The sequence below is a fragment of the Homo sapiens genome, chromosome 12 (genome assembly GCF_000001405.40).
Source record: "Homo sapiens chromosome 12, GRCh38.p14 Primary Assembly".
NCBI classification, from domain to species: Eukaryota; Metazoa; Chordata; class Mammalia; order Primates; family Hominidae; genus Homo; species Homo sapiens.
Window position 1 is genome coordinate 111,699,587 of NC_000012.12, and position 13,548 is coordinate 111,713,134.

General features: G+C 43.9%; 1 protein-coding gene across 2 annotated transcripts in view; it reads left to right on the top strand.

Annotated features, from left to right (window-relative positions):
• Positions 1–13,548, top strand: part of ACAD10 (acyl-CoA dehydrogenase family member 10) — a 71,047-nt gene that overhangs the window by 13,534 nt on the left and 43,965 nt on the right. The window contains exons 3-7 of one of the 2 annotated variants that reach the window (NM_001136538.2): positions 2,576–2,724; positions 6,152–6,346; positions 9,940–10,098; positions 10,687–10,779; positions 12,912–13,071. In NM_001136538.2, coding sequence (NP_001130010.1) covers positions 2,576–2,724; positions 6,152–6,346; positions 9,940–10,098; positions 10,687–10,779; positions 12,912–13,071 — 756 coding nt within the window. The remainder of the gene's footprint in view (positions 1–2,575; positions 2,725–6,151; positions 6,347–9,939; positions 10,099–10,686; positions 10,780–12,911; positions 13,072–13,548) is intronic. The other variant, NM_025247.6, reaches the window with a different exon arrangement.

The window sequence follows — 13,548 nt, forward strand, 5'->3', positions numbered from 1 at the left end:
TCTAGGATCTAGTTTGGAGGTTAGTAAACTTTTTCTATAAAGGGCTAGACATGGTGGATGTGATGGCTTATGGCTACGATCCCAGCACTTTGGGAGGCCGAGGTGGGAGACTGTTTGAGGCCAGGAGTTTGAGACTAGCCTGGGCAACATAGTGAGATCCCCATTTCTACAAAAAATAAAAAAATTAGCTGGGCATGGTAGCACGCACCTGTAATCCCAGCTACTCAGGAGGCTAAGGCAGAAGGATCACTTGATCCTGGGAGCTTGAGGCTGCAGTGGGCCATGACTGTGCCACAGCTCCCCAGCCTGGGCAACAGCAAGACCCCATCTTAAAAAACAAAAATAAAGAAGGGCTAGATAGGCTTTGTGAGCCATACTCTCAGTCACAACTATTCACTTCTACCATTGCAGCAAGAAAGCAATAATAGACAATAGTAAACAAGTGTGGTTGTGTTCCAATAAGACTTTATTTACGAAAATAGGTAGAGCCAGGCATGCTGGTGTGTGCCTGTAGTTCCAGCTACTAGGGAGGCTGAGGTGAAGGTTCATTTGAGCCCAGGAGTTTGAGGCCAGCCTGGGCAACACAGCAAGACCCCATCTCTTAAAAAAATAGATAGGAGACAGATTTGGCCCCAAGCCATATTTTGCTGACCTTTGGGCAAGTTTATATGTTTTAACATCTGTGTGGTATTCCGTTATATGAATATATCATAATTGATGTAATAAACACCTTATTAGTATACATTTAACTTTTCTAGTTCTTTTTATTATGAGCAATTCTGCACAAACAACCTTGTACATAACCTTTGCTTACTTTCATAAATATATATGGAAGAAATTTCTGAAAGTAGAATTACTACGTCAAATGTATGTGCATTTCAGATTTTGACAGAAATTATCAAATTGCTGTCTGCAGAGGTTGTGCTTGTTTACGCTCCCGTCAACAGCATATGATGGTGCCGGTTTCCTCACATGCTTGCCAACTCCGAGACTGTGAAAAATGCTATATGCTTTAGCTCTAAAATTAAAGTATTTTTTGGATTGAGTTTTAAAAGTCTTGTTATTTTCAAAGGACATATACCAGATTGTTAACATTAGTTATTTCTGAAAGAAGATAGGACTGCTTGTCCTTTTACTTTCCTTCCTTCCTTCCTTCCTCTTCTTTTTTTTTTTTTTTTTTTTTTTTTAAGACATGGGGTCTTGCTCTATGTCCCTAGGCTGCAGTGCGGTGGCACCATCATAGCTCATTGCAGCCTCAAACTCCTGGGCTTAAGCGATCCTTCCACCTCAGTTTCCCGAGTAGCTAGAATTACAGGTGCAACCCATCACGCCAAGCTAATTTTTAAATTTTTTCTAGAGACAGGGTTTAATCATGTGGCCCAGGCTGGTATCAGACTCCTAGCCTCAAGCGATCCTCCCATTTTGGCCTCCCAAAGTGCCGGGATTATAGGTGTGAGCTACTGCACCCAGCCTACTTTCTTTTGCATAGTTTTCTATGAAATATATTGTCTGAAAAATTTTCAATGCACAGACACTACTTTATCAGAAAAAAACAACAAAGGTGTTTTAATTCCAAAACAAAAGCTATATGTAAAGTGTATTTTGTCTTAGATATATAATTATGAATGTTGTATGTATATATTTGCCCCCAGCATCTGTATTATAGACAGAAAAAGCAACTGTGGATGAGGAGAAACAGTCCTTGCACAAATGTTCCCAGTATTCTACAGATGCTGATGCTGATCCATCCACTGCCTTAGCTCTTTGTGGACAGAAATTTCCTTCTTGGCCAGGCACAGTGGCTCACACCTGTAATCACACACAGTACCTTGGGAGGCCCGAGGCAGGCAGGCAGATCACCTGAGGTCAGGAGTTTGAGATCAGCGTGGCCAACATGGCAAAACCCTGTCTCTACTGAAAATACAGAAATTAGCCAGGCTTGGTGGTGCACGCCTATAATCTCAGCTACCTGGGGGGCTGAGGCACGAGAATCAGTTGTACCTGTGAGGTGGAGGTTGCAATGAGCTGAGATTGTACCACTGCACTCTAGCCTGGGTGACTGAGTGAGGCTTTTTCTGAAAAAAAGAAGAAATTTGCTTCCTTATCCACAAAGACAGCATTTCAGGCGAACATTTCAGTGTACTCACTCCATGCTGTGAAGAATTACTATAGCCTATAGAAGGAAGGGCATGTTCTAGGGGCCACCAGGATCTGGCTTCTTCCTTCATGTGCTTCCATAGTCTCTGCCAGGTCCAGGTAAGTGACCTAACATATGGTCCAGTGAATATGAGATCAAGGAATAAAATTCATCATGCAGTGCCCGGAGTCCTCTCAAGCAACCACTGAGGATCTGATGCTTCACAGCAGTGTGCTCTCTGTTGTACACATTAGCATTGCTCTTCCTCTGGGGGTCTAAGGTTGAGATTTTGCATTTTGTGAATGTCTGCAAATTTCCAACAGCATCCACCCTGGCAGTACAGCGAGTCCGTAGGAACTGGTATGGTAATTTTCCTGAGCTCCCTAAACCCCAGCATGTATCAATGTATTCCACTTTTGCATATTTTGCTTCCTATAGAATGGGAGGTACAGAATCGTATCCCTTCTGGAACTATATTAAAGGCCTTGATGGAAGGTGGTGAAAATGGGCCCTGGATGAGATTTATGAGAGCAGAAATAACAGCAGAGGGTTTTTTACGAGAATTTGGGAGACTTTGCTCTGAAATGGTGAGTGGTAAACATACCTACATTTCCATATTTTTCTTTTTGCCTTGAGTAGTGGTTGCAACATTCATGTATAAGTTAGTTAAACTGAAAATAAAGTGAAACCTAATAACCCATTACATGTTTTAAAGTTATTTCTTAGGCCAGGCGCAGTGGCTCATGCCTATAATCCCAGCACTTTGGGAGGCCCAGGGGGTGGATCACCTGAGGTCAGGAGTTCGAGACCAGCCTGGCTAACATGGTGAAACCCCGTTTCTACTAAAAATACAAAAAATTAGCTGGCTGTGGTGGCGCACATCTGTAATCCCAGCTATTTGGGAGGCTGAGGCAGGAGAATTGCTTGAACCTCAGGGGTGGAGGTTGCAGTGAGCTGAGATCATGCCATTGCACTCCAACTTGAGCAACAAGAGCGAAACTGTCTCAAAAAAAATAATAATAAAGTTATTTCTTTCACCCCTAGGTGTTCAATGTTCAATTCATATATGAATAACTAAAAATATTCTTAGCCAGGCGTGGTGGCTAACACCTGTAACTTCAGCACTTTGGGAGGCTGAGACAGGAGAAGTGTTTGAACTCTGGAGTTTGAGACCAGCTTAGGCAACATAGCCAGACCTTGTCTCTACTAAAAATCAAAAAAATTAGCCAGGCATGGTGGTGCACACCTGTGGTCCCAGCTATTCAGGAGGCTGAGGCTTGAGCCCTAGGGATTGAAACTTCAGTGAACCATGACCGTGCCACTGCACTCCAGCTTGGGCAACGTAACAAGACTCTGTCTCAAAAAAAAAAAAAAAAAAATTCTTTACTAAGTTCCTCCAGCATATATTTTTTTAATGTTTTCTGGTGTATTATAAAGGATGTTATGAAGGATACGAATGAACAGCCAGATGACAAGATACCTGGGGGCAAAGGTTTTAGAGCCACTGTGCCCTTTCCAGGCCTGCCACCCTCCTCCCAGCACCTCCATGCATTCAGCAACCTGAAAGCTCCCCTCTAATAGATACTAAAACAGGAGCTGTCTACATAATGGCTTTGATAAAAAAGCTTTTTTAAAGCAATAATAATATTGAACATTTTTTCTGTACTGTGCACTGTTCTAAGCTCTTTATATAACTCATGTAACCACAATAGCTCTACTAAAATATAATTTAAAATATAGTAAGAAAAGTTCTGTAGGTAGATGGTGATGATGGTGATGGTTGCACGACAACACGACTGTACTTAATGCCACTGCACTGTGTACTTAAAAATGGTCGAGTGCAGTGGCTCACACCTGTAATCCCAGCATTTTGGGAGGCCAAGGAGGGCGGATCACCTGAGGTCAGGAGTTCAAGACAAGCCCGGCCAACATGGTGAAACCCCATCTCTACTAAAAATACAAAATTTAGCCAGGCGTGGTGGTGGGCATCTGTAATCCCAGCTACTTGGGAGGCTGAGGCAGGAGAATTGCTTGAATCTGGGGGGCAGAGGTTACAGTGAGCCAGGATCAAGATCACACCACTGCACTCCAGCCTGGGTGACAGAGTGAGACTCCATCTCAAAAACAAAAACAAAAAAAGGTTAAAATGGTAAATTTTGTGTTACATATATTTTCCACAATTTATATATATATATATATATAAACATATATGTGTATATGTAATAGTAAACTTTGAAAACATTATGCAAAGTGAAAGAAGCCAGTCAAAAAAGACTGCATGGTGTATGATTCCATCTGTGTGAAATGTCCAGAATAGGCAAACCCATAGAGATAGAAAGTAGATTGGTGGTTTTCTAGTACAAGGAGACTTTGGGGGAAATGAGGAGTGACTGTTAATGGGTACGGTTTACTTTTTTTTTTTTTAATTTTTTTTTTGAGACACAGTCTCACTCTGTTGCCCAGGCTGGAGTGCAGTGGAGCAATCTCGGCTCACTGCAACCTCTGCCTCCCGGGTTCAAGCGATTCTCCTGCCTCAGCCTCCCGAGTAGCTGGGACTACAGGCGTGTGCCACCAGCTCCAGCCAATTTTTGTATTTTTAGTAGAGACGGGGTTTCACCATGTTGGCCAGGATGGTCTCGATCTCTTGACCTTGTGATCCGCCCACCTTGGCCTCCCAAAGTGCTGGGATTACAGGCGTGAGCCACCACGCCTGGCTGGTTTGCTCTTTAGAGTAATGAAAATGTCCTAAAATTGATGGCAGTGATGGTTGCACAACTTTGTAAATATATTAAAAACCATTGAATTGTACTCTTTAAATAGGTGACTTGCATGGCATGTGAATTAGAGTTCAGTAAAGCTGTTCTAAAATCTGTGTGTGTATATGTATATATAAAACAGCAGACTTGCCTTTGCAGATTTTGAAATGTGATAATATAAGAGTTTTCTTTCTTTCTTTCTTTCTTTCTTTTTTTTTTTTTTTTTGAGACGGAGTCTTGCTCTGTTGCCCAGGCTGGAGTGCAGTGGCATGATCTTGGCTCACTGCAACCTCCGTCTCCTGGGTTCAAGCAATTCTCCTGCCTCAGCCTCCCCAGTAGCTGGGACTACAGGTGCGTGCCACCACGCCTGGCTAATTTTTTGCATTTTTAGTAGATAAGGGGTTTCACCATGTTAGCCAGGATGGTCTCGATCTCCTGACCTCGTGATCTGCCTGCCTCAGCCTCCCAAAGTGCTGGGATTACAGGTGTGAGCCACTGCGCCCAGCCTTATAAGAGTTTTCAAAACCCACACAGATTGAATTTAAAAACAAGAAAAAAATTGATCAGAAACTAAAGTTCATAATGGTGATACTGAGGCAATATAAAAAGCATTAAATGACTTCTCAATCATTAAAAATTAAATTACATATACTTCATATACTTTTAGATTTCACTGTATCCTCTTATGATATGCTGTTTTTTTTTTCAACTAGCAATCCATGAGCAGAATAAAGAACTCATTTAATTGTAATATTGATATAAATAGCTCCATTCCCTACTGTGTTGCTCAGGCTAGAGTGCAATGGCTTGATCATAGCTCACTGCAGCTCCAATCTCCCAGGCTCAAGCCATCCTCCCACCTCAGCCTCCTGAGTAGCTGGGACCACAGGTATGTGCCACCAAGCCTAGCTAAGTTAAAAAAAAATTTTTTTTAGATCTCACTTTGTTGCCCAGGCTGGTGTCAAAATCCTGAGCTCAAGCAGTCTTCCCACCTCAGCCTCCCACAGTGCTGGGATTACAGGTGTGAGCCACTGTGCCCAGCCTATAACTCTAGTCCTGGATAACTTTTAAAAACCTTATATGAGAGTTCAGCACAGGGGCTGAGGAACACAGTTCCTGCAGGCAGCAAGCTATGAGCCTGGGCTCTTGTAGCAGAGAGCAGAAGGACGCCAGGAATAAGCATTTTTTTTTTCTGTTGGCCATGAGTGTTTGTCACTCTTAATGATTGCTGTTCTCCTGTGCCCTCTCCTGTTCTTAGTTAAAGACCTCCGTGCCTGTGGACTCATTTTTCTCTCTGTTGACCAGTGAGCGAGTGGCAAAGCAGTTCCCAGTGATGACTGAGGCCATAACTCAAATTCGGGCAAAAGGTCTTCAGACTGCAGTCTTGAGCAATAATTTTTATCTTCCCAACCAGAAAAGCTTTTTGCCCCTGGACCGGAAACAGTTTGATGTGGTAAGCTTGAGCTAATTGAAAACCATTGGAACAGAATCTGTGCCCTCGCTTCAGGGTGCAATGTTAAATGCTATCTTCCAGCAGGTCTTGAGTGAGGGAGTTTTTCCTTCAGCCACTTGACTAAGTTAGGTTTAAATGCAATATGTTGAAAACAGACCCTTTAAGATATCACTGTGTTCTTAGCAAGGTCAGACATTTATGGCATTTGATTACTGGTTGACACTTCAGCTTTACATTCTAAATTCGAACCTTAGTCTTCATATAACACAAGCATCTCTGTCAGCCCTCATATCGTAATGGATCCTTTGGCCTTTTCTAAGACCAACTATGTTGCCTTCTATTTCTGTGACGTTAGTTCCTAGACCAGTGCTGTCCAATAAAATTTTACTGCCTTCCTCGGCCTGATTTACTTCCATACTAAATCCATCTGCTCCATGTGTGTATCCCAACCTGTCATGTGATAAACCTATCGTTTTGACATGCTTGGCTATATTTGGGTACTTTACCTATTTATTTATTTTTATTTTTTTATTTTGAGATGGAGTCTCGCTCTGTAACCCAGGCTGGAGTGCAGTGGCACAATCTCAGCTCACTGCAACCTCTGCTTCCCAGGTTCAAGTGATTCTCATGCCTCAGCCTCCTGAGTAGCTGGAATTACAGATGTGTGCCACCATGCCTGGCTAATTTTTATATTTTTAGTAGAGACGGGGGTTTCACCATGTTGGCCAGGCTGGTCTCGAACTCCCAACCTCAAGTGATCCACCCACCTCAGCCTCTCAAAGTGCTGGGATTACAAGTATGAGCCACCGTGCCTGGCCTATTTATTTTTTTATATATATATATATATATATTTTTTTTTTTGAGACCATCTCACTCTGTTGCCCAGGCTAAAGTACAGTGGCACCATCTCGGCTCACTGCAGCCTCCACCTTCCAGGCTCAAGCAGTTCTCCTGCCTCAGCCTCCTGAGTAGCTGTGATTACAGGCATGCACCACCACCCCTGGCACCACCACCCCTGAATTTTTAGTAGAGACAGGGTTTCACCATGTTGGCCAGGCTAGTCTCGAACTCCTGACCTCAAGTGATCTGCCCACCTCAGCCTCCCAAAGTGCTGGGATTACAGGCATGAGCCATCGTGCCTGGCCCCTATTTGGGTACTCTCTTTTTTTTTCCTTGAGAGAAGGTCTCTCTCTGTCGCCCAGGTTGGAGTTCAGTGGCGCAATCTCAGCTCATTGCATCCTCCACCTCCTGGGCTCAAGCAATTCTCGTGCCTCAGCCTCCTAGTAGCTGAGACTACAGGTGCATGCCACCACGCCTGGCTAGTTTTTGTGTTTTTTATGAATATTAGAGACTGGGTTTCACCCTGTTGGCCAGGGTGGTCTCAAACTTCAGACCTCAAGTGACCAACCCACCTCAGCCTCCCAAAGTGCTGAGATTACAGGCATGAGCCACTGTGCCTGGCCCTATTTGGATACTTTAAAAATGTTTGTTTTTGTCTTATAACCAACAGCAGTGATAATTCCCTTTAGAAACTCCAAAGCCCAGATTGGCAGTTGATCTTCCAGCACCTTTTAGAGTTGTGATGGATCAGAAGGACCCTTCCCCTGGCCCATTCCTCCAAGGATATTCTGAGTCAGTGCAAAAGGGAACAGCTCATGAAATATAGTGAGAGTCATGGTAGCCTCTAGAACACATCAGATTAAATTTCTCTGATAACTCAAGTATTGGACATTTTGCTACCAGAGCCCCTTTCTGATTCTTTCCATCTTTGGAAGAGCTACTTTTGCTGGACTCCAGGAAGTGGCATATTACCTTAGCCCTACATCTGCCTATGCCTGGGTGTATTTGTACCCTTCGTTGGGCCAGTGAGATTAAAGATTTTCAACTCTGCCTACACATCACATGACCTGGGAGTTTGTAAAGATGCTGGGTCTGTTTCCCTGGAGGCTTTCATTGAGTATGTCTAGTTGGGATCCAGGCATGTGTATTTCGAAAAAGCTCCACAGGTGATTCTGCCTTGCAGCTGGGGTGAGATACCCCAAGACGCAGTGAGGGACTTCAGATTCTGTCCATGCTTTTCTCTTATCAGACAGCCTCTGTCATGCTTACCTTGAGAAGGAGGCTTCCCCTCCATCTTCCTGGGATAGAGCCTTGATAAATAAAATCATTTTTATCTGATCTACATTTGGAAAAACACTGACCTTGTTCCCACAGTTCCTGCTTTGCCAAGAAAGTAATAGAAGCCCTGAATAAGTTCATGCCATCATGTGCAAAATAAGAAAGAGAAGGCTAGAGATCTTATCAAATAAATCTTAAGAATTTATTTTACTTCCCCCAGATGTAATTCACCTAGTGAGAGGAGCCGAATGCTTCCTGGAACTTTGCCCCATCCCCCCCAATTCCCTCCACTCTCCTAGCTCTTGTCTCAGCCAGTACAGCTCTGCCACTTCCATCTGGTACGTTACATCGACTGGTGTCTGAAACACCCTGCTTCTGTACTTCTCACTATTGACGTTTTCTTTAGGGTAGCCTCTTAGACTTTTTTTTTTTAGCTCATTCAGGTCCTTAGGAGACAAGAGAAAGTAGAAAGGTCCAGTTTATTCCAGACATTTATTTACCTGAAAGGGCAGTTCTCACCCAACCCAGAATGCAAGTGTAGGGTAGAGAGAGGGGCCACTGGGTTTGTCCTTGGCCTTGGAGAGCTTGGGTCATTCCAAGTGGCAAGTCAGAGATTTAGTTCTGTTCTTAGGGCAGATCAGAGGGTATTGGTTATAGGCTATGTGGCTATAGGAGATTGGGCCCACTCTATAGGAGATTACGCCCTGGGGACACTGTAAAAGGACTTTCGGGGAATCAGTGGATCAGAGACAGCCTGACACTGAGAAGGCTTTCCCGTGTTCTCCTGAACTCTCACCAGCACCCTCCACCCATTACGGATCAGATATGTGGCTGAAGCAAGGTCGTCAGAGTACAGGAGCCTCTTAGCATGTCAGGAACAGTGTCAGCCCTCCCATGGAATTTCTGTCTAAATGGAGTATGGATGGGTTTTTAACCTCTGAAATAAACACTAAGTTCGTATTTATTTTATACCTGTAATAGTGTCTTCTTTCTGCAAAAAAAAAAAAAAATGGCGAAATGCTTTCCGTCAAACTGACATGTACAGCTTTTCTTCTGCTCTGTTTAGCCCCAAGATGTGACATTAGCCAAATGCTTTGTCATTTTGGAACCCACTTAAGTTTCATTTAAGTTTCACAACTTACTGAGCTAAGATAGGTACGATGACTATTAATATTATTCCCATTTTATTGATGATGGCACTGAGGCCCATTATGGCTTTGCTCGTTTGCACAGGGTCACAGTGTCTGAAACAGACACTTTGGTTTCTCGAGTTTGCCCCCACGTTGTAACCCAGTATTGTCAAATTACTCAATGTAAGAAGGCAACATCATTTTATATCATAACACTCTTAAATTACTTGTTATAATAAATCTCAACTGTCCTTCTTATGCTTTTCCTCTCAAAAAGTTTACCAGCATGCATGTGGGAGCTCCACCTTTCGGGACATTCATCTCTCATTCCTGTCCCTCCATCAGATTGTGGAGTCCTGCATGGAAGGGATCTGTAAGCCAGACCCTAGGATCTACAAGCTGTGCTTGGAGCAGCTCGGCCTGCAGCCCTCTGAGTCCATCTTTCTTGATGACCTTGGAACAAATCTAAAAGAAGCTGCCAGACTTGGTATTCACACCATTAAGGTAATAGTCACTAATTTTTGAACTCCCTCCCATGCACCAGCCACTAATGCAATGTTTCTCTGTAATCTTTTTACATTTGTAGCTCTAGCTTTCCTTAGGGTTTCCCCCTGTGTTTCCATAGTCATCTTATTTTGTGTTAATTATGAAATCTATGTGACTAGCTGCTTGTATTTTCAATGGGAAGCAAGACAAACAGGTACTGCGAAGGCAGGTTGAGAAAAGAGATGGGAAAGGAGGTGAATGGCAGGCTTAAGACCTTTGTGGGGGTGTTCACACTGTCCTCATGATCCAGTGATGCTGCCTTAAGTGGGGAGCCAGTGGCCACCAGCCATGCAGGCCATGCAGCTCACTGCTGTAAAGCACGAGAAGCCATGTGAGGGGGTCTCATGCCAACTTTTTTCTATTCTTTTTTTTTTTTTTTCTCATACAGGGTCTTGTTATGTCACCCAGGCTGGAGTGCAGTGGTGCAATCATAGCTCACTGTAGCCTCAACCTCCTGGGCTTAAGTGATCCTCCTACCTCAGTCTCCTGAGTAGCTGACCAGAGGCATACACCACCACACCCGACTAATTTTTGTATTTTTTGTAGAGACAGGGTTTTGCCGTGTTGCCCAAGCTGGTGTCGAACTCCTGGGCTCAAGCGATCTACCCACCTTACCCTCCCAAAGTGGTGAGATTACAGGTGTGAGCCACCATGCCTGGCTTCTATTCTTCTATGTTTGGGTTTTCATCGTCGAGCTGATGGGCCTGTAGGGTAAGAGCAAACGTTGTAACATAATCTTCTTTCTTCTTGGCACAAGAGGGTATTGTGAAATTTTTTTTTTTTTTTGAAACAGAGTTTCACTTTGTCACCCAGGCTGGAATACAGTGGCATGATCTTGGCTCACTGTAACCTCTGCCTCCCTGGTTCAAGCAATTCTCGTGTGTCAGCCCCCTGAGTAGCTGGGACTATAGGCGCACGCCACCATGCCCGGTTAATTTTTTGTATTTTAGTAAAGACAGGGTTTCACCATGTTGCCCAAGCTGGTCTCAAACTCCTAAGCTCAGGAAATCTGCCCGCCTCGCCTCCCAAAGATTCACGGCCTCACCACGCCCGGCCGTGAATCTTTTTTGAGATGAGGTCTTGCTAGGTTGCCGAGGGCTTTGAACTCCTGGACTCCAGCAGTCCTCCCACCTCAGGCTTCCCAAGTGGCTGGAACTGTGGGTGCACACCATCATGCCTAGCTGTTTTGTGAACCGTTGACCAGTGCTTCTCTCTGCAGGATAGAAAGTTCAGTGTGGTTAGGAGTTAAATGGGAAGAGGAAATGCATTCTACTGCTCCCTCATTAGCTAAATATCCTGGGTTCGAAGGCCTTCCTCAGAGTACTGACTTCTTTGATAATTTCCCTCTAAAGGACTACCCTTTGTAAAAAGTAAAGTAGAGGTTCTTCTTTAAAGACTTTCCTTATTATTTAATTAGGAATAAATAGTAACTTCTTTTAGAAGCAAAATTTATTTAAAGACCTGTGCTAAATTTTTTGTTGTTGTTGTTGTTGAGACGGAGTCTCATTCTGTCGCCCAGGCTGGAGTGCAGTGGTGCAGTCTTGGCTCACTGCAAGCTCCACCTCCTGGGTTCACGCCATTCTCCTGCCTCAGCCTCCCAAGTAGCTGGGACTACAGGCATCCACTACCACGCCCAGCTAATTTTTTTGTATTTTTAGTAGAGACAGGGTTTCACTGTGTTAGCTAGGATGGTCTCGATCTCTCGATCTCCTGACCTCGTGATACGCCTGCCTCGGCCTCCCAAAGTACTGGGATTACAGGCGTGAGCCACCACACCCAGCTGACCTGTGCTAAAATTTTTTTTTTTTTTTTTTTTGAGATGGAGTCTTGCTCTTTCGTCCAGTCCAGACTGCAGTGGTCCTATCTTGGCTCACTGCAAGCTCCATCTCCTGGGTTCGCACCATTCTCCTGCCTCAGCCTCCCAAGTAGCTGGGACTACAGGCGCCTGGCTAATTTTTTGTATTTTTAGTAGAGACGGGGTTTCACTGTGTTAGCCAGGATGATCTCGATCTCCTGGCCTCGTGATCCACCCGCCTTGGCTTCCCAAAGTGCTGGGATTACAGGCGTGAGCCACCGCGCCCAGCTATGCTAACATTTTTAAATATTTGCTAGCTGCAATAAAGAAATTAATGTATTTTATGTTTTTAGTTCCTGCAATTTAGTCTAAATATTTGCCTTGGCCTGCTAATACTGGTCCAAGCAAGTATTGGGTCATAGCTTGTTCCTCTTCTTTATTTGAAGGTGTTTTTATTTTTCTCAGCATTTTACAAGTTACTTCCTTCTTCCTTTGTTTTCCTCTACCTTTGCCTCTTTTAAAAAGTTTTAAGTTGCTAGCCAATTAGGACAAATACAGAATGTAAAGTCTCGTTCCAGCCAATGGAAACTGGACACAGCAGTAGGATGGATGCGTCAGCTTATAAATGACCCTGTCTCCTTTGTTTGGTGTACTGTTGTGGCAAAACTGCTGGTGAGTGTACCCTTTCTGCAGGAAGTAAAAATGGCCTTGCTGAGTAAATTAAATTTATGTTCAAGTGCTATGTCTTTGTGGCACCGGGGAACAAACATTTCAGACACCTCCTAGGAAACAGATAGGAGCCCCTGAGGCCAGGATTGACTGCTGGCACCTGTTCAATATATATTCTCTGCACCTGTACTACCATGAATTGTAAAATTAAAAATATATACGTGTATATATTCTCAACATCCTGTGAAAGGAAGGGAAAAATAACAACAACAAAAAATATACATCTACATATTCTCTCTGAAACCAGGTTAATGACCCAGAGACTGCAGTAAAGGAATTAGAAGCTCTCTTGGGTTTTACATTGAGAGTAGGTGTTCCAAACACTCGGCCTGTGAAAAAGACGATGGAAATTCCGAAAGATTCCTTGCAGAAGTACCTCAAAGACTTACTGGGTATCCAGACCACAGGTATGTGGGCTTCTTTCATGTTTTGGTAGCTCTCTCCAAGGCGAAGGTTTTGGTCTGTTTCTCACTTTTCAACCCTAATGGAATGGGCTGGAGACAAAGAAGCTTTACAGTGAGGAAAATAGCCATTGGGCCTGGTGCATCGGAGCACTGCTTTCAGTTTTGCTTGGGAAAAAGCATTAACTTCCCTATTTATGCATCTCCAAAAGTGTACCTATCCCACTCTTACACCTGAGAGTGTGGTATGGCAGTGGTTGCCTGCTTTCAACAGGGAGAGGAACTTGGGGACTGCAGTGTGTGCTCAGAGGATTTTACAGTTTCTAATGCTTTGAGACGACAGCCCATTTTGTGAAGACGACTTAGAAGTTACATCGGCAGGCGGGTGCGGTGGCTCACGCTTGTAATCCCAGCACTTTAGGAGGCCAAGGCAGGTGGATCGCGAGGTCAGGAGTTTGAGACCAGCCTGGCTAACTTGGTGAA